Source organism: Homo sapiens, chromosome 4 (genome assembly GCF_000001405.40).
Source record: "Homo sapiens chromosome 4, GRCh38.p14 Primary Assembly".
Taxonomy (NCBI): Eukaryota; Metazoa; Chordata; class Mammalia; order Primates; family Hominidae; genus Homo; species Homo sapiens.
This window is the reverse complement of record NC_000004.12, coordinates 55,223,341-55,244,615: the sequence shown is the minus strand read 5'-3', so window position 1 is coordinate 55,244,615 and position 21,275 is coordinate 55,223,341. Positions and strand designations below refer to the sequence as shown.

Here is a 21,275-nt window from a genome sequence, read left to right as displayed (position 1 = left end):
ATTTGATGTTTATATTTGTTTATATTTGAAGATGCTGCCCCAGCCCTGTGGCTTCCAGAGTAACTTTTTCTGATTGTGAGTAGGCACTTGTTTATTTCATTAATAGCTTTGTCAGTCTTTCAGAAAACCAAGCATTGCATACTTTGCCTTTTAGGTCCCTGAACTACAAAAACATTTTGTGTCTTACTATCATACCTGCTTGAGATGCTAATACTGGCAGTTCTGCTTCATTCAATCACCTTTAAAGGTTTTTTTGCTTATTCTGGACCATCAATGTCAGTAGCAGCATCATTAGAAGTCTCTATTTCACTAGTTTAAATCATTATCTCCTTTCAGCAGATATGGCAAAAGTTTCCCAAATGGTCTTTCTTCCTTACTCTCCTCTCTGGGCTAATCTATTTCTTGGCCTTTCACCTGGAAAATAATCAACCAATCAAAAAAATCAGAGCGTGGATCACATTGCCACCTGTAAACCTTCAATGATGCCACATTGCTTACTGAATACAGTCTGAGCTTCTTGGTTACTGTATTCAAGGCCTTTCGTAATTTGTTCCCAGCTCACTCTTTCATTCCAGTTTTGTATTACTCTCATAATTCGTGAATCTTACCCATTAATCAAACTGAACTGCCTCTACGCCTTTGTTAATATTGCTCTCTTCCTCTTTGAATGCCCTTCATCCTCATCTCTGCTTGTCAAAACCCCTGAAGACACAGTCCATATGTCTTCCCCTCGATGAAGTCGTCCCCACTCCCCCAGCCAGGAAAGTCTCTCCCTCTTAGATGCATCAAACACGCATTGCATATAAATCTTAGAGAACTTATCTTCTCCCCATGTTGTCTCCTATGGTTATGTTTATAAATGACTTGTCTTCCTTAATGAGAAGGGGAACACTCATCTAAATATGTAACTATAATTCTGAAAGGTTTGGGGAAAACTCAGTAAAAAATACTAACATTTAAAATACCTGTTTTTCTTTTCCTCACATTGTGCATCTCGTCTCTGACATTTCCTGTGCTTATATATCAGCATCCATCTTAACTTTGTAACCATTGCTTCTATAGCCCTGATTGTCCCTGATTTTAATCCTGAAATTTACATGGGGTTTTCTAAAATGCACTTCAAGATTCCACCTTGTTTTTCTTCTGTGTTTAGGAGGAAGAAAGGCAGGGCACTGGTAAACACAGCCTGGAGAGCTTCCCCACACAGGCAGCCAGATACTTTGATCATTAGTTATGTTAAGGGTCTTCCTTTCTGCTGCCCCAGAGGATTGGTTTTCCAGGCCTATTTTGAGGAAGCAGAAGTGGCCACTCCCTACATAATCAGGGAGTCCTGTGCTGTTTTATGGGTGTTTATTTATTGTGAATTTAATTATTTATACTCAAAATTCTACAATGTAGAACAGGAATTACACTTTCCCTTTTACATTCAGCTTAGGTTAACTGGACAGAGAGGCTAAGCTTCTAATCTGTGGCACTATACAGTTTAGAATACCTTGCCATCCCAATTGTAACAAGGTCACGATTATACTTGGCATTGTGCTCTTGGAAATCTTCTCTTGTGTCATGCCAATTTAAAAATTGCTAAAATTAATGCTATTAAAAGCATTACAATATGTTGATACAATAAGGAAGATAAAGGCATTCTATTTCTCCAACCTTTCCCTAAACTTCCTTTTTTGGCTCACCAGGGTTCTTACCAGGAAGGTATGGTGTATCATTGAAAACAAGCTTCTCTTCCTTCATGGCTTTAGCTGTGTTTGGCTCTAGGGAGGGAAGGCTTAATTGAAGCTGAGCTCCAAGCTCCTCAGCTTGCCAGGACTCACCAGAGGGAATAGCAGCCTCACTTCTGTAAATATTTAAGGGGCTCAAAGTGATGCCAGTCACATGTCAGAAGAGGAAGCTCTTGACTTCCTCCATTGAATTGTGTCCGGAATTGGTGGGTTCTTGGTCTCACTGACTTCAAGAATGAAGCCGCAGACCCTCACAGTGAGTAAAGACGGCATGCCCGGAGTTTGTTCCTTCTGATGTTTGGATGTGTTCAGAGTTTCTTCCTTCTGGTGGGTTCATGGTCCACTGGCTTCAGGAGTGAAGCTGCAGACCTTCACAGTGAGTGTTACAGCTCATGAAGGCAGTGTGGGCCCAAAGAGTGAGCAGCAGCAAGATTTATTGCAAAGAGCAAAAGAACAAAGCTTCCACAGTGTGGAAGGAGACCCCAGCGGGTTGCCACTGCAGGCTTGGGCAGCCTGCTGCTTTTATTCTCTTATCTGGCCCCACCCACATCCTGCTGATTGGTCCATTTTACAGAGAGCTGATTGGTCTGTTTTACAGAGAGCTGATTGGTCCGTTTTGACAGGGTGCTGATTGGTGTGTTTACAATCCCTGAGCTAGACACAAAAGTTCTCCACTCCCCACTACATTAGCTAGATACAGAGTGCTGATTGGTGTATTTACAAACCCTGAGCTAGACACAGAGTGCTGATTGGTGCATTTACAAACCTTGAGCTAGATACAGAGTGCCGATTGGTGTATTCACAATCCCTTAGCTAGACATAAAGGTTCTCCAAGTCCCCACCAGATTAGTTAGATACAGAGTACCGATTGGTGCATCCACAAACCCTGAGCTAGACACAGGGTGCTGATTGGTGTTTACCATCCCTTAGCTAGACATAAAGTTTCTCCAAGTCCCCACTAGACTCAGGAGCCCAGCTGGCTTCATCCAGTGGATCCCACACTGGGCCGCAGGTGGAGCTGCCTGCCAGTCCTGTGCCTTGCCCCGGTACTCCTCAGCCCTTGGGTGGTGGATGGGACCGGGTGCCGTGGAGCAGGGGGCGGTGCTCATTGGGGAGGCTCCAGTGGTGCAGGAGCCCATGGCAGGGGCAGGAGGGCGGCAGGAGTGAGGGGGAGGGTGGCTGCTAAGGCCCCATGAGAAATTGAGCACAGTGCCGGTGGGCCAGCACTGCTGAGGGACCCGGCACACCCTCTGCAGCTGCTGGCCCCGGGGGCTAAGCCCCTCACTGCCCTCTGAGCACAGGGCCTGCGGAGCCCACGCTCACCCGGAACTTGCGCTGGGCAGCAAGTGCGGGGCACAGCCCTGGTTCCTGCCCGTGCCTCTCCCTCCACACCTCCCTGCAAGCTGAGGGAGCTGGCTCTGGTCTCTGCCATCCCAGGAAGGGGCTCCCACAGTGCAGCATGGGCTGAAGGGCTCCTCAAGTGCAGCCAGAGTGGGCGCTGAGGCTGAGGAGGCACCAAGAATGAGCAAGGGCTGCGAGGGCTGCCAGCATGCTGTCACCTCTCAGAATGAGCATCTATTCCTGAATTAATTCCCACTGAGAGAAAGTCAGAGGCCAGGTGAGAGACTTCTACCCACCAGGCAATTGAGAAAACATCCATATAGAATGAATAGGAAAAGCTGAGGCACATTTGGGCATGGACTCTGTCCCAGGTACCTTGCTAAAAAATTGAAAAATGAATTCCCAATATCCAGCTTCTCCCTGTGGAGAAAAGGGTTTGGACCTCACGTATAACATTCTAGCTCTAAGGTGCCCCATGGCTCGGCTCTTAATTCACCAGTTCTGGGAGCAGAGGGGATGAGGCATCCACAAGTCTCTCTAGACCACAGGAAAAAAGCAGCAGTTTTATATAGGTGCACAAGCACTTCCATGGGCTTTAGGCCCCTGGAGTAGAGAAAGGGCTTGAAAATACAGCTTACTGTTTCTCCCATGAAGGGTTTATGACACAGTCTTCCAGTGGCTACTTGACGGCTGGGATTCTAACTAACTTGCACCAGGGAGTTAAAGGGGTAGACAACTGTTGGTTATAATCTAGCAGCTTGAGAAGCAGATCAGTACTTGCCAAACCTCCTCCGTTACTCATCTCAGTGATAACTCCAGGTATATTAAGCCCTCCTGGAATGAGTTTGTTCACATATTAAGCACCCCAACTTTTACAGCTTCCACCCAAAAGACTGCATCTTAAATCTTCTAGCTTCGACAGCAAAGGGGAATGGACATGTGTAACTCTTCCTAGATTACTAAACGAAGAGGTGGTTTTAAATGGGCATGCAAATACTTTCAGGGGCTATACCTTTTGGGAATGGTGTGAAGAAGGTGCTTAAAAAATGAAGCTTTCTGTGTTTCCCCAGAAGTAGTTTATGGCACACTCTTTTAATGGCTACAGACAGTCGGTTTCTAACTAACTTGCACTGGGACTTAAAAGGGGCAGTCAAGAAGTAACACTCTGGCAGCCTGGGCAGCAGCTCAGCACTTCTTGAGCTTTTTCCTGTGACTCACTTCAGCAATAACTCCAGGTCTACTAATTTCTCCTGGAAGGAGTTTGTCTATACATTAAGTATCCCAACTTTTACAGCGTTCACCCATCCAGTTTGGGATTGCATCCCAAACCTCCTAACTCTTGGAGCAGAAAGGACTAAGCATATGTGAGTCTTCTTAGATTACAGAAGAAAGAGGTAGTTATAACAGGTTCACAGACATTTCTGGGGCTACATTTCATGGGAACAGTGAAGAAAAGGGGCTGGAATGTTCATCTCCTATTTTCTTTCCAGAAAGACTTTGCTGCATATTCTTCTAGTGGCTACTTGATGATCTGGCCTCTAACTAACATGTGTTAGGGAGCTAATTGGGCAGAAAAACGGTAGTGTTCAGGCAGTCTGAGTAGAAACTTAACACATCCTTAGCCTTTCCTCTGGCTCAATTCAGTGATAAATCCAGGATTACCCATTCTTCCTGGAAGGAGTTTGTCCATGCACTAAATGTCACAACTTCTATATCTCTTACCCAAGGGATTGTATCCTTTATTATCTAGCTCTGGGAATCAATGAGACTTTGCATTCCTGAAACTTTCTAGGCCACAGAAAACAAAGACATATAATGGGCTGATTTCTAGTAGCTATTTCTCCAGTATCAGAGGGTGCAGACTGAAAGCAAGCACAGGCATTTGCCACAGAGACTCTCAAACTTACTGCAGAGCAAGTGGGAGAAAAACACCTATACTCAGCTTCAACACTGAGAAGAAACTGGAGCATGCATTCAAACCTCAACTTTCCCAATTACATCTAGAGGATCTGGCTTCTACTTTAATGATTATAGGGTACTTGCAGGACATGGCACATCCTAATCTCTAGGGGCCTACCAAAAACAGAGACAGTAGTATGGGCAAAGATTTGAAAGGCACCTTAAAATCTCTAACTTAATTTGTAAAATCCTTCTCCTTCACAAGACCATTCTGGAAGAGGCAATTGTTTTCTTTAATGAACAGAACCAACACAGAGACAAGTAAAATGAAGAAGCAGGAAAATATATTCCAAATAAAAGGACAAGATATAAATCTATAGAAACCAACCTGAGTGAATTAGAGATATGTGATTTACCTGACAGGGAATTCAAAATAGTGGTCATAAACATGCATACTGAGGTCAAAAGAACAATGTGAGAACAAACTGAGAACTTCAACAAAGAGATAAAAGTATAAAAGAGTACCAAACAGGAATCACAGAGCTGAATAATGCTGTAACTAAACTAAGCAAATTCAATAGAAGAGTTCAGCAGCAGACTAGATCAAGCAGAAGAAAGGATCAGAGAACTTGAAGACAGGTCACTGGAGATCATCAAATCTGAGGAGCAAAAAGAAACAAAGAATGCAAAAAGTGAAGATAACTTAAAATACTTATAAGACATCATAAAGCAGAACAACTGGCACATTGTTGGTGTTCCAGAAGGGGAAGAGAGAGCAAAGATCAGAAAACATGTTTAAAGAAATAATAACAGAAAACTTCACAGGCTTAGATAAAGAAATAGAAAGTCAAATCCAGAAAACCCAAAGGACACACAATAAGATGAATCCGAAAAGACCCATACCAAGACACATCATAACAAATATCAAAAGTTAAAGACAGGAAGAATATTGAAAGCTACAAGGGAAAAGCAAACTGTCACATAAAAGAGAACTTTCATAAGAATATCAGCAGATTTCTCAACAGTAATGTTGCAGGCTAGAAAAGAATGGAATGACATATTCAAAGTTCGAAAAGAAAAGAAAATAGTCAACCAAGAATACTATACCCAGCAATCCCATCTTTCAAAAAAAGAAGTGATAAAGACCTGAGACAAAAGCTGAAAGAGTTTATCATCATTAGAGCTGCCTTACAAGAAATACCAAAGGGAGTCCTTCAGGCTGAAGAAAAAGGACACTAATTAATAACATATGAACATATGGAAGTATAAAACTCACTGGTAAAAGTAAGAATGTTGTTAAATCCAAAACACTGCAATACTATAATGGCAGTGAGTAAATCAATTACATCTTTAGCATAAAGGTTAAAAGGTAAAACTACTAAAAGCAACTAAAACTACAAATTATAAAAAGATGTAAAGTGTGATATCAAAAACATAAAGTATAAGATGAGAGGGAGTAAAAGTATAGAGTTTGTTTATGCAATCAAAAATAAGTTGTTATCAACTTAAAATAGCCTCTTTTAAGTATAAGATGTTTTATGAAAACCCCAGGGTAACCACAGAGCAAACACCTATAATAGACACACAAACACTAAAAAGATAAGATCCAAAGCATACCATTACGGAAAACCATGAAACCACAAAGGAAGAATGCAAGAGAGGAAGAACAGAACAAAGTATCTACAAAATAACCAGGAAAAAAAATTAACAAGATGGCACTAGCAAATCCTAACCTGTCAACAATTACTTTAAATATAATGTAATACACTTTGAACATAAATGATTCGATTATCTAATCAAAGGGCATAAAGCACCTGAATGGATTAAAAAAAAAAAACTAAAAACAAGACTCAACTAAATGCCGCCTACAAGAAACTCATCTTACTTTTGAGGACACTCACAGTTTGAAAGTGAAGGGTTGGAAAAAGACATTCCATGCTAATGGAAACCAAAAAAGAGCAGTGATAGCTATACTTCTTTCAGACAGGATACACTTTTGGTCAAAAACAGCAAAAAGAGACAAAGAAAGTCATTATATTTTGATAAAGGAGCCAATTCATATCTAAGCACCTAAATATATAAAGCAAACATTAAGAGATCTGAAAGTAGACAGACTTCAACACAATAATAGGGAATTTAATACCCCACTTTCAATTATAGACAGATTATCAAGACAGAAATGATGAAATACTGGACTTGAACTACATTTTAGACTAAATGGACTTAACAGACATATATGGAATATTTTATCCAACAGCAATAGAATACACATTCTTCTCAAGTGCATCTGGAACATTCTCCAGGATAGACCGTATGTTAGGCCACAAAAAAGTCTTAACAAATTTAAGAATGTTGAAATCATATTAAATACTTCTTCTAACCATAATAATATGAAACTAGAAATCAATAATAGGAGGAATCAGAAAAATTAAAAAAATGTGGAAATTAAACATTATACTTCTGAACAACTATTGGGTCAAAGAAGAAATGAAAAGGGAAATTAAAAAAATATACTGAGCTAAATAAAAATGGAAACAATATACCAAAACCTATGGGATACAGGCAAAAGCAGTTCTGAGAGGAAAACTCAGCACTAAATACTTCCATCAAGAAAAAAGAAAGATCTTGAATAAACACCCTAACGTTATACCTTAAGGAACTCATAAAAGAAGAACAAACTAAGCCCAAAGTTAGCAGAAGAAAGGGAATAACAAAGTGAGCAGAAACAAATGAAATAGAGACTAGAAAAATAATACAAAAGATCAATGAAACTGAGTTGGTTTTTCAAAAAGATTGGTTTTTGATAAGACTGGTATTTTGAAAAGCTAAACAAAATAGACAAACTCTTAGCTAGGCTAAATTTAAAATGAGAAAAGACTCAAATAAACAAAATCAGAAATAAAAGAGGAGACATTACAACTGATACCACAGAAATACAAAGGATCGTAAGAGACTACTATTAACACAAATAAATTTGACAATCCAGAATGAATGGATGAATTCCTTGAAACATATAACCTACCAAGATTGAATCACAAAGAAATCAGAAATCTGAACAGATGGATAACAATCAAGGAGATTGAATTAGGAATCATATGTCTCCCATCAAGAAAAAGGCCAGGACTAGATGGTTTCATGGCTAAACTCTACCAAGCATTTAAAGAAGAACTAATACCAATAGTTCTCAAACTGTTTCAAAAAATTGAGGAGGAAGGGATACATCCAAACTGATTTTATGAGGCTAGTATTACCTTGATATAAAAGCCAGAAAAAGACACTACCAGAAAAGAAAACTACAGGCCAATATTACTGATGAACATAGATCCAAAAATCTTCGACAAAATACTAGCAAGCCATATGCTATTGTACCTTAGAAGGATCATTCACTATGATCAAGTTGGATTTATCCTTGGGTTGCAAGGATGGTTCAACACATGTAAATCAATAAATGTGATTCACCTTATTAACAGAATGAAAGACAAAAACTGTATGATCATCTCAATAGACACAGAAAAAGCATTTGACAAAATTCAACATCCTTTCATGATAAAAATTTTCAACAAATTTGGTATAGAAGGAATGTTCCTTAAAACAGTAAAGCCATATACAACAAGCTCACAGCTGCCATCATATTTAATGGTGAAAAATTGAAGAGTTTTCCTCTAATATCAGGAAGGAACAAGATATTGATGCCCACTGTCACTACTTCTGTTAAATATATGAGTGAAAGTCTTAGATAGGAGAATTAGGTAAGAAAAAGAAATAAACTGCATCCAAATAGGAAAGGAAAATGTGAAATGATCTCTCTTTGCTGATGACCTAATTTTATAAATGAAAGACCCTATAAACTTCACCAAAAAAAAAACTGTTAGAACAGATAAATTTAGTAAAATTGCAGGATATAAAATCAACTTATAAAAATCAGTAGCATTTTTATGTACTAATGACGTACTATCTAAAAAAGAAATTGGGGAGGTTGCAAGATGGCTGAATAGGAACAGCTCCAGGCTACAGCTCCCAGCATGAGCAACACAGAAGATGGGTGATTTCTGCATTTCCAACTGAGGTACTGGGTTCATCTCACTGGGGCTTGTCAGACAGTGGGTACAGGACAGTGGGTGCAGCCCACAGACCATGAGCTGAAGCAGGGTGAGGCATTGCCTATTCAATATGGGCAGGCAGGCCTCCTTGAGCTGTGGTGGGTTCCATCCAGTTTGAACTTCCCAGCTTCTTTCTTTACCTACTTAAGCCTCAGCAATGGCAGGCGCCCCTCCCACAGCCTTGCTGCCACGTTGCATTTTGATCTCAGACTGCTGTGCTAGCAATGAGTGAGGCTCCATGGGTGTAGGACCCTCCAAGTCAGGTGGAGGACATAACCTCCTGGTGTGACATTTGCTAAGATCATTGGAAAAGCACCGTATTAGGGTGGGAGTGACCTGATTTTCCAGATGCTCTCTGTCACCCCTTTCCTTGGTTAGGAAAGGTAATTCCCTAACCCCTTGTGCTTCCTGGGTGAGAAGATGCCTCATTCTGCTTCTGCCCACACTTGGTGCACTGCACCCACTGTCCTGCACCCACTGTCTGACAATCCCCAGTGAGATGAAAGTGGTACCTCAGTTGGAAATGCAGAAATCATTCATCTTCTGCATTGCTCATGCTGGGAGCTGTAGACTGGAGCTGTTCCTATTTGGCCATCTTGGATATGCCCCCCTCAACATTCGTAAAGAAAAGAACTTTCAACCCAGAATTTCATATCCAGCCAAAGCAAGCTTCATAAGTGAAGGAGAACTAAAATCCTTTACAGACAAGCAAATGCTGAGAGATTTTGTCACCACCAGGTCTGCCTTACAAGAGTTCCTGAAGGTAGCACTAAACATGGAAAGGAACAACCAGTACCAGCCACTGCAAAAACATGCCAAATTGTAAAGACCATCGAGGCTAGGAAGAAACTGCATCAACTAATGAGCAAAATAACCAGCTAACATCATAATGACAGGATCAAATTCACACATAACAGTATTAACCTTAAATGTGAATGGGCTAAATGCTCCAATTAAAAGACACAGACTGGCAAATTGGATAAAGAGTAAAGACCCATCAGTGTGCTGTATTCAGGAAACCCATCTCATGTGCAGAGACACACATAGGCTCAAAATAAAGGGATGGAGGAAGATCTACCAAACAAATGGAAAAAAAAAAAGCAAGGGTTGCAATCCTAGTCTCAGATAAAACAGACTTTAAACCAACAAAGATCAGAAGAGACAAAGAAGGCCATTACATAATGGTAAAGGGATCAATTCAACAAGAAGAGCTAACTATCCTAAATATATATGCACCCAATACAGGAGCACCCAGATTCATAAAGCAAGTCCTTAGAGACCTACAAAGAGACTTAGACTCCCACTCAATAATAATGGGAGACTTTAACACCCCACTCTCAACATTAGACAGATCCACTAGATAGAAAGTTAACAGGGATATCCAAGAATCGAACTCAGCTCTGCACAAGCAGACCTAATAGACTTCTACAGAACTCTCCACCCCAAATCAACAGAATATACATTCTTCTCAGCACCACATCACACTTATTCCAAAATTGACCACATAGTTGGAAGTAAAGCACTCCTCAGCAAATGTAAAAGAACAGAAATTATAACAAACTGTCTCTCAGGCCACAGTGCAATCAAATTAGAACTCAGGATTAAGAAACTCACTCAAAACCGCTCAGCTACATGGAAACTGAGCAAGCTGCTCCTGAATGACTACTGGGTAGATAACAAAATGAAGGCATAAATAAAGATGCTCTTTGAAACCAATGAGAACAAAGACAAAACATATCAGAATCCCTGGGACACATTCAAAGCAGTGTGTAGAGGGAAATTCATAGCACTAAATGCCCACAAGAGAAAGCAGGAAGGATCTAAAATTGACACCCTAACATCACAATTAAAGGAACTAGAGAAGCAAGGGCAAACACATTCAAAAGCTAGCAGAAGGCAAGAAATAACTAAGATCAGAGCAGAACTGAAGGAAATAGAGACACAAAAAACCCTTCAAAAAATCAATGAATCCAGGAGCAGGTTTTTTGAAAAGATCAACAAAATTGATAGACTGCTAGAAGATTAATAAAGAAGAAAAGAAAGAAGAGTCAAATAGACGCAATAAAAAATGATAAAGGGGATATCACCACTGATCCCACAGAGATACAAACTACCATCAGAGAATACTATAAACACCTCTATGCAAATAAACTAGAAAATCTAGAAGAAATGGATAAATTCCTGGACACATACCCCCTCCCAAGACTAAACCAGGAAGAAGTTGAATCCCTGAATAGGCCAATAACAGGCTCTGAAATGGAGGCAATAATTAAGAGCCTACCAACCAAAGAAAGTCCAGGACCAGATGGAGTCACAGCCGAATTCTACCAGAGGTATAAAGAGGAGCTGGTACCATTCCTTCTGAAACTATTCCAATCAATAGAAAAAGAGGGAATCCTCCCTAACTCATTTTATGAGGCCAGCATCATCCTGATACCAAAGCCTGGCAGAGACACAACAAAAAAAGAGAATTTTAGACCAATATCCCTGATGAACATCGATGTGAAAATCCTTAATAAAATACTAGCAAACCAAATCCAGCAGCACATCAAAAGCCACCACGATCAAGTTGGCTTCATCCCTGGGATGCAAGGCTGGTTCAACATACAGAAATCGCTAAATGTAATCCATCCTATAAATAGAACCAAAGACAAAAACCACATGATTATCTCAATAGATACAGAAAAGGCCTTCTACAAAATTCAGCAGCCCTTCATGCTAAACACTGTCAATAAATTAGGTATTGATGGGACGTATCTCAAAATAATAAGAACTATTTATGACACACCCACAGGCAATATCATATTGAATGGGCAAAAACTGGAAGCACTCCCTTTGAAAACTGGCACAAGACAGGGATGCCCTCTCTCACCACACCTATTCAACATAGTGTTGGAAGTTCTGGCCAGGGAACTCAGGCAGGAGAAAGAAATAAAGGGTATTCAATTAGGAAAAGAGGAAGTCAAATTGTCCCTGTTTGCAGATGACATGACTTTATATTTAGAAAACCCCATCGGCTCAGCCCAAAGTCTCCTTAAGCTGATAAGCAACTTCAGCAAAGTCTCAGGATACAAAATCAATGTGCAAAAATCATAAGCATTCCTATAAACCAATAACAGACAAATAGAGAGCCAAATCATGAGTGAACTCCATTCACAATTGCTTCAAAGAGAATAAAATACCTAGGAATCCAACTTACAAGGGATGTGAAGGACCTCTTCCAGGAGAACTACAAACCACTGCTCAACGAAATAAAAGAGGATACAAACTAAAGGAAGAACATTCCACGCTCATGGGTAGGAAGAATCAATATTGTGAAAATGGCCATACTACCCAAGGTAATTTATAGATTTAATGCCATCCCCATCAAGCTACCAATGACTTTCTTCACAGAATTGGATAAACCTACTTTAAAGTTCATATGGAACCAAAAAAGAGCCCGCATTGCCAAGACAATCCTAAGCCAAAAGAACAAAGCTGCAAGCATCACGCTACCTGACTTCAAACTATACTACAAGGATACAGTAACCAAAACAGCATGGTACTGGTACCAAAACAGAGATATAGACCAATGGAACAGAACAGAACATGCAGAAATAATACCACATATCTACAACCATCTGATCTTTGACAAACCTGACAAAAACAAGAAATGGGGAAAGGATTCCCTATTTAATAAATGGTGCTGGGAAAACTGGCTAGACATATGTAGAAAGCTGAAACTGGATCCCTTCCTTACACCTTATACAAAAATTAATTCAAGATGGATTAAAGACTTACATGTTAGACCTAAAACCATAAAAACCCTAGAAGAAAACCTAGGCAATACCATTCAGGACATAGGCATGGGCAAGGACTTCATGTCTAAAACACCACAAGTAACGGCAACAAAAGCCAAAATAGACAAATGGGATCTAATTAAACTGAAGAGCTTCTGCACAGCAAAAGAAACTACCATCAGAGTGAACAGGCAACCTACAGAATGGGAGAAAACTTTCACAATCTACCCATCTGACGAAGGGCTAATATCCAGAATCTACAAAGAACTTAAACAAATTTACAAGAAAAAATCAAACAACCCCATCAAAAAGTGGGCAAAGGATATGAACAGATACTTCTCAAAAGAAGACATTTATGCAGCCAACAGACACACGAAAAAATGCTCATCATCGCTGGTCATCAGAGAAATGCAAATCAAAATCACAATGAGATACCATCTCACACCAGTTAGAATGGTGATCATTAAAAAGTGAGGAAACAACAGGTGCTGGAGAAGATGTGGAGAAATAGGAACACTTTTCACTGTTGGTGGGACTGTAAACTAGTTCAACCATTGTGGAAGACAGTGTGGCGATTCCTCAAGGATCTAGAACTAGAAATACCATTTGACCCAGCCATCCCATTACTGGGTACATACCCAAAGGATTATAAATCATGCTGCTATAAAGACACATGCATATGTATGTCTATTGCAGCACTATTCACAATAGCAAAGACTTGGAACCAAGCCAAGTGTCCATCAATGATAGACTGGATTAAGAAAATGAACTTTTAGGATTCACTAGAGGGAGAAGCGTGTGTAGTGATGACTCTAGCAGGGCCCAGAGAACTCTGATCCCATGCGGGTCTGGTGCCCTGGATGCTCGGTTTTCAGGGTCCTGAATAGGGCTGGATGATGCTCAGCTGTGGAAGCCACAGATCGTTAGCTCTGGCTGTGATTCCTCAGCTTTGCCTTTCTTACAAGGGGGACCAGACCCTTAGGGCCACCAGGCTCTTCTTCTGGCGTGGTGGGCCTGCCCCAGCGGCACCTCCACTTCACAATGCTGTCTCAGGCTCCATGTGCTGAGACTTGTCATTTGAACACCTAGGTGTCTGGAAGCCAGGTGACAACATGTGATGTGATTTAGTGGTGCCTACATACTCATGTGAGGCAGATCAACCTCGTCCTCAGGAATGATTACAGGAACTGGGAAGACAGTAGAGAAACTTCACCTTTGGGATAAGAAGAAGTTGCTAGGCTCCCAGGTCTTGAGGCTCCTTTCTTATAGTTTGATGGACCAGGCTGAGCAGTCACAGGACCTTGGGCAGTGGCTGAAGTATTTCTGATTAGAGGAACGGGTTAGGGTTGGCAAGGAAGCTGTTCTGAATGAGTACACTGTGGGATGGGACCTACTGACATTTGCACTGGGCTGTCGAACTTTCAGGCTGGGTCACCCAGAGTCAGTTGTACTCCTTTATTGGGCCCCAAGATTCTCTCCAGTAAAATGGCTTCCTTAACATGGAAATCATTAAGGAACAATTTCCTCTCAGAGTTCTTGGAATGTTACAACAAAGGTGATGTGTTGAGGATGGGCCCAGCGTGCGCTCAGCCTGGTCATCATTCATAGTAAGGATTCCTCATGGCCTGAGATAGAGGCAGCAGGAGACCTCACCCTGTTCCTATCAGATCGGCCAGGGAGGGAAGTGCCTTCCTGGTCAATCGAGTGACTCCTGGGTAGAGTCCAGAGGATTAAACTTCCTTTACAGGGCCCAGCCAGTAGCTATCAGCTGACCAACTTTCCTCAGATCACTCCCTGGGCTTCTGTGTGGACACAACAGAAGAGAGTACTGCTCTATCACCAGGGTAGAGTGCAGTGGTGCAATCATGGCCCTCTGCAGCCTCCAACTCCTGGGCTCAAGCTATTGTCCTATCTCAGCCTGTCAAGTAGCTTGGACTGCGGGAAGATGTTTTCTGGCCTTTTCGGTCTACTGGTGCTCCTGCAGGAAGGCTGCAGTTCTCAACAGCACATGGGGAGCCCTCATCTGGTGTTTGGCTTAATTCCTGGTGCCTGGATTTCTGGAGATAGGTGTGATCGATGTGGCCAAGAACATCCTTTTCCACCCATATTGGAGAGATCGCTGTGTGGATCTGTTCCCTATAATTTAGAAGCAGCTTTTCACCTTGATGCTCAAATGACCATGCTTAACCACTACCTGCCCTGCATCCTTTTCACCAGCTGAGATTCCCAGCAAGCAGCAGGCTCCCATCCTGGACTCCAAGGAGACAACTCTTCCCTGTGCCTTCACCTGCAAAGCTGTTGCCCTCTCTCCCAGATCACGATCACAAGACTCCAAATTACTGAGTGGGGTCCAACGAGGTGGGACTGTAAAGAACATGTCCTGCGGACATTACCTTCACTGTTCTCATGAGTGGGATGGGAAGAAAAGAGTCCTCCCCTTCCAACTGGTGGATTTTCTGGGCTTGGAGGGAGGAAAACAAAACAAAACCAACCAAACAGAAAATAACTATTACCTGAATTATTATGAAACTTCAGAGAAAACTACTTATTTGAAGAAAATAAAATATGATTTATGTTGTTGAATTTGTATTGCCAAAAAAAAAAAAAAAGAAAATGTGGCACATATACACCATGGAATACTATGCAGCCATAAAAAAGGATGAGATCATGTCCTTTGTAGGGACATGGATGAAGCTGGAAACCATCATTCTGAGCAAACTATTAGAAGGACAGAAAACCAAAGACTGTACGTGCTCACTCATAGGTGGGAATTGAACAATGAGAACACTTGGACACAGGGTGGGGAACACCAGACACTGGGGCGTGTCGTGGGGTGGGGGGAGGCAGGAGGGATAGCATTAGGACATATACCTAATGTAAATAATGAGTTAATGGGTGCAGCACACCAACATGGCACATGTATACATATGTAAGAAACCTGCACGTTGTGCACATGTACCCCAGAACTTAAAGTATAATAAAAAAAAAGAAATTAAGATAGCAGTCCCATTTACAATAGCATAAAAGTAAAATAAAATACTTGAGTAAATTTAAACAGGAGGTGACAAATCTTTATAGTGAAAACTACAAAGCATTGATGAAAGAAATTGAAGATGACACAAATAAATGACACCATCTTCATGGCTTAAAAAATTAATATTGTTAAAATATCCATACTATCCAAAGTAATCTGCAGATTAAATACCTTCCCTCCCAAAATTCCAATGTCATTATTTATAGAAATAGAAAAAACTACCTTAAAATTTGTATGGAACCATAAAAGACCTCAAATATCCAAAGCAACCTTGAGCAAAAAGAACAAACCTGGAGACATCACACTAATGGATTTTAAAATATGTTAGAAAGCCATAGTAATCAAAACAGCATGGTACTGGTATAAAAGCAGACACACCAACAAATGGAATGGGATAGAGTTCGCAGAAATCAACCCTCACACCTATGGTCAATTGATTTATGACAAAGATGCTAAGAATGCACAATGGGGAAAGGACGGTCTCTCCAATAAATGGTATGGGGAAAATTGGATATTCACGTGCAAAAGAATAAAAATGGACCCTTGTTTCATCCCTTATACAAGAATCAACTCAAAATGGATCAAATACTTAAATGTAAGACCTGAAACTGTAAAAGTACTAGAAGAAAGCAGGAGAAAAGCTCCATGACATTGGTATGGGCAGAGATTTCTTGGATATGACCCCCAAAACATAGAAAATCAAAGCAAAAAATAGACAAATGGGATTGCATCAAACTAAAAAGCCTCTGCACAGCAAAGCAAGCAATTAACATAGTGAAGAGACAACCCACAGATTTGAAGAAAATATTTACAAATTGCATGTTGTATAAGGGGTTAATATTCAAAATATATAAGGAACTCAAACTAATTAATAGCAAGGAAAAAAAAACCCTATTAAAAAAATGGGCAAAAGGCCAGGCAAGGTGGTTCATGTCTGTAATCCCAGCACTTTGGGAGGCTGAGGTGGGAGGATTGTTTGAGGCCAGGGGTTCGAGACCAGCTGGTCAACATAATGAGACCCTGTCACTACCAAAAAACACAAAAATTAGCCAGAAGTCGTGGCACATGCCTGTAGTCCCAGCTACTTGGGAGGCTGTGGCAGAAGGATGGCTTTAGCCTAGGAGTTTGAGGCTACAGTGAGCTATGATTACACCACTGCACTCCAGCCTGGGTGACAGAGCAAGACCCCATATCAAAAAAAAGAAAAAAAAGAAAAACAAAAAGAAAAGAGCAAAGGACCTGAGTAGACATTTCTCAAAAGGAGGCATACAAACACACAAATGGGCATCAAATATATGAAAAAATGCTCAATATCTCCAGTCACTGGAAAAATGCAAATTAAAACCACAATGAGATATCACCTCATACATGTTAGATTGGCTATTATAAAAAGGATGAAAGCTAACAAATGTTGGCAAGGAAGTGGAGAAAGGGAACCTTTATACACTGTTGGTGGTATTGTAAAGCAGTATTGTTATTTTGTAAAACAGTGTGGAGCTTCTTCAAGAAACTAAAAATAGAACTATCATATGACCTAGCAATTCCACTTCTGAATATATTTCCAAAGGAATTGAAATCAGTATTTTGAAGAGATGTCTGTACTCCTGTGTTCATTGCAGCATTGTTCACAGTAGCTAAGATATGGAAATAACCAAGGTACCCATCAACAGATGAATAGATTTTAAAAATGTGGTTTATATACAATGTGGGATACTATCCAGCCTTTAAAATGTAGGAAATTCTGCCATTAGCAACAACACGGATGGACGTTATGCTGAGTGAAATAAGCCAGGCACAGAGAAACAAATACTGCATGATCTCACTTATATGTGGAATCCAAGAAAGTTGAACTTACAGAAGTAGAGATTAGAATGGTGGTTACCAGGGGCTGGGGGTGGGGGTGACAGGTGGCATGGACAGGGAAATGAGAGATGTTGGTCAAAGGGTACCAAGTTTCAGTTAGACAGGAGGCATAGGTTTTAGTGATCTATTACACAGCATGGTGAGTATAGTTAACAATACTGTATTGTGTATTTCAAAATAGTTAAAAGAATGGATTTTAAATATTCTCACCACAAAGAAATGATAAATATTTGAGGTTGATGGCTATGTTATTTAGCCTGATTTGATCATTCCTTAATGTACTCATGTATGAAAACATCACATTTTACCCCAGAAATAGATACAATTATTATTGATAAATTAAAAATAAAATTAAACTTTAAAAAAGAGGAAAAAATATTTGAGGGGCCCGGTCATAAGGATGAGCCATTATCTTTACCAGGAGAAGCTTTTCCCTTAAAATGTCTATTGTCACCTAAGCTCATCTATTTGCTCTCTTGGCTTTGAAGGGGCTGAGATAAGTTTTCCAATTCTTAAACTTCTAAGTGTTTCACTCCATTTAAGAAGCTGCTGATGGTTCATTGCCTACTTTATGCCATTCATTCATTCATCCATTATTTATTGATCTCCCATTCAGTGCAAGATCCTGGGCTCAATACTGTGAAGAAAACAAATATAAATAGTACATTTCTGATCCTCACTTACAAGAAGCTTCTGGGCCAGTAGCAAAAACATACATTGAAACAATCAAGCATTATAGAAATACATAGAAAATAGGTATTTATTAGCAATATATAGTACACGGGAACCCAGAAAGGGAATAATTAATTCTACCTGGAGAACCTCTGAGATGGTTTCATAATGAGGTAAAACTTAATTCGGGTCTTAGAAGATGAGTTGTATTTTGATAGTTGAAGAATGGGGAGAAGGGACATCTAGATTTCAGAAACAGAATGAACATAATACGGAGGCTGGAAAATGCATGGCATCTTCTGCTATGGTCAGGTGAGGTTGGAACATGGGGCATATACATAGATTGAAGGTGCTGAGATAGGAAAGGTAGGCTGGTGTTGGACTTTGGAAGGCATTTAATTCCAAGGGCATTGAAACATAATTCTCTACACAAGGGAGAGCCATTGAAGTTTTCTGAGGAGGGCAGTCTCCTGAATGAATTATGTTTTACAAACATCATTCTGGCTTCACTGTAAAGAATGGGTGAATTTGTGGGCAGACAAACCCAGTAAGAAGCTTATCCAAACAAGAGATAAGGAAAAGGAGACTCAAGACTATTTTATCAAATCCTGAGCCACTTATAATTTTTTTTTCTGCTAAATTTAAGGAGAGTCCAATTGCAGGGTAAGCCCTTCTCTACTCTTTAAAACATGTGGCCATGAAGATTCACTGTCTATATAGATAGGAGCAAGCATAAGAAACATGCATGTTATAGAAGAGAAAAAAAACCGATTCTAACAACCTAATTAACTTGATTCTTTCTTTTTTTTATTTGTATAAATTTAAGGGGCACAAGTGCAGTTTGGTTACATGGATATATTGCTTAGTGGTTCAGTCTGGGCTTTTAGTGTAACATCACCTGAATAATGCACATAATACCCATTAAATAATTTTTCATCCCTCACCCCACTCTCACCCGCCTCCCCTTTCCTTTAATTTAGAAAAAGATGATTTCCAGAAATACTTAAAGAATGAGGGCAGCAATTTAATTTTTAAAAAGCAGACATAAGAAGGGCATTTCTAAACTCTGTTAGACTGTTAGTATCAACGAGGCATTTATGGCACAGCTAGAGTTTGCGAGGCCTATGTGGAAGAAAAAAGACCTCACAAGCTCCAGTTAAGTTTGAAGAACCAGACATAGTCTCATAAGAAAACAACCAAGTATACCACGCCCTACACATGATAAGGGGGTTTGATAAGAAAATGCTCCAGGAGAGTTGTTTTCCTCAATCCTTTTTTTTTCTTTTAAATAAGAAGAATTATGTTAGCTTTATTAACCCTGATGGCTTCAAAAACTCAAGGCAGGAAGCCAAAGGCAGGAGAGGAGGTTGAATATTTTCAGAGGACTGGTTTGGAAGTTCACAGTGGCCATATCCAAGGATTTAAGTCTTTGTTGTCATATAAAATTGAATATGAATATGAACATTCTTTAGTAATGTGTATCTTATTCAATTAAATTCAACTATTTTTTTGTGGTGTATCTATTATGTGCAAGCCACTGTTCTAGAGTAAAAAGATGAGCAAGAAATTATCTTGGCTTTTTCCTATAAATGGGAGAGCAGAGGTATTTACTTCCACATCTGTATTTGATTAGAAACCTTCTCATTGTCCTACTGCTGATGAAATAAAAATCATGGAGGGAGGATGTGAAGTGAAATAGTGGTAGTGAGTTATTTTATTTGTATTATTATTATTTTTCTATTTTGCTGTCAGAGACTTGGCTGAACTTTTGTTCTGATCACTCTGTAAAGTTTATTTTTCTCATCTGAAATATGGGGGTAATAACTACAAATGTGAATGTGCCCAGCCCAGGGCCCCTGGGACTCAATAAATTAGGTTTATTTTCTCTCTTAGTGGATCAGATTCATTAGCATCACAACTTTCTCAAATGAGTTTATTATTTCTTTTGATGTCCCATGGCACTATTCCTTTTTTTTTTTTTTTTTTTTTTTTTCTTTTAAAGAGAGAGTCTGGCTCTGTTGTCCAGGCTGGAGTGCAGTGGTGCAATCTCGGCTCACTACAAGTTCCGCCTCCCGGGTTCATGCCATTCTCCTGCCTCAGCCTCCCGAGTAGCTGGGACTACAGGCGTCTGCCACCACGCCCAGCTAATTTTTGTATTTTTTTTCAGCAGAGACGGGGTTTCACCTTTTTAGCCAGGATGGTCTCGATCTCCTAACCTCGTGATCCGCCCGCCTTGGCCTCCCAAAGTGCTGGGATTACTGGCGTGAGCCACTGCGCCCGGCCTTTTTCTCTGTTTCCTTTGGTCTTTTTTCTCTTCCCCGTTGATGATTTCTCTTCCCTTTTTACCTTCCACAGCTGACTTCTGGTTTATCCTTTCCTCTGCTTCCTGATACTAAATGTCTGTCTGTTTTGATTCAAATAGGGAACTGACGTTTCCATTTTAACACCGTTGTGTTTATCATATAAATTCTTAGTTTTCCAGTTCTAAATGACAGGTGAATGCAATGTTTCATATTAATTTCAGAAACGTGGTGGTATCTTTTATTTTATTTAGCCTTGTCATCTCCCATTCTTCCTGGAGAGGTGATCTAGTGAAGAAAGGTCCATCCCTGTGTCTGCTGGAGATAAAAATTGCCCTAGTCAACTTTATAAATGGATTAATCTGTGTTTGATTATTGTTACAGGATAATTGGCCAGGCTAGCTTTTGCCACGGTACCTCCCTGTCCATTTTTTCCACTGTGCTCACACCCAGTACTCACAGGTGGCCAGATTTCAGATCTGCTATTCTGAGCAAAAAAACCAAGCTCTGGAATAAATGTTGGAAGGCAATTCCAATGAAGTTGTTTCATTTCTGCC

The 21,275-nt window shown here is 40.2% G+C and overlaps 2 annotated features.

Moving 5' to 3' along the window:
• Positions 2,468-2,968: an enhancer, noted in NCBI's record as "H3K4me1 hESC enhancer chr4:56107815-56108315 (GRCh37/hg19 assembly coordinates)". NCBI's record gives its function as "activates a minimal SCP1, AML or CMV promoter by ChIP-STARR-seq in primed H9 embryonic stem cells {active_cell/tissue: H9 hESC(primed)}" and the evidence as "EXISTENCE:reporter gene assay evidence [ECO:0000049][PMID:30033119]".
• Positions 2,969-3,469: an enhancer, noted in NCBI's record as "H3K4me1 hESC enhancer chr4:56107314-56107814 (GRCh37/hg19 assembly coordinates)". NCBI's record gives its function as "activates a minimal SCP1, AML or CMV promoter by ChIP-STARR-seq in primed H9 embryonic stem cells {active_cell/tissue: H9 hESC(primed)}" and the evidence as "EXISTENCE:reporter gene assay evidence [ECO:0000049][PMID:30033119]".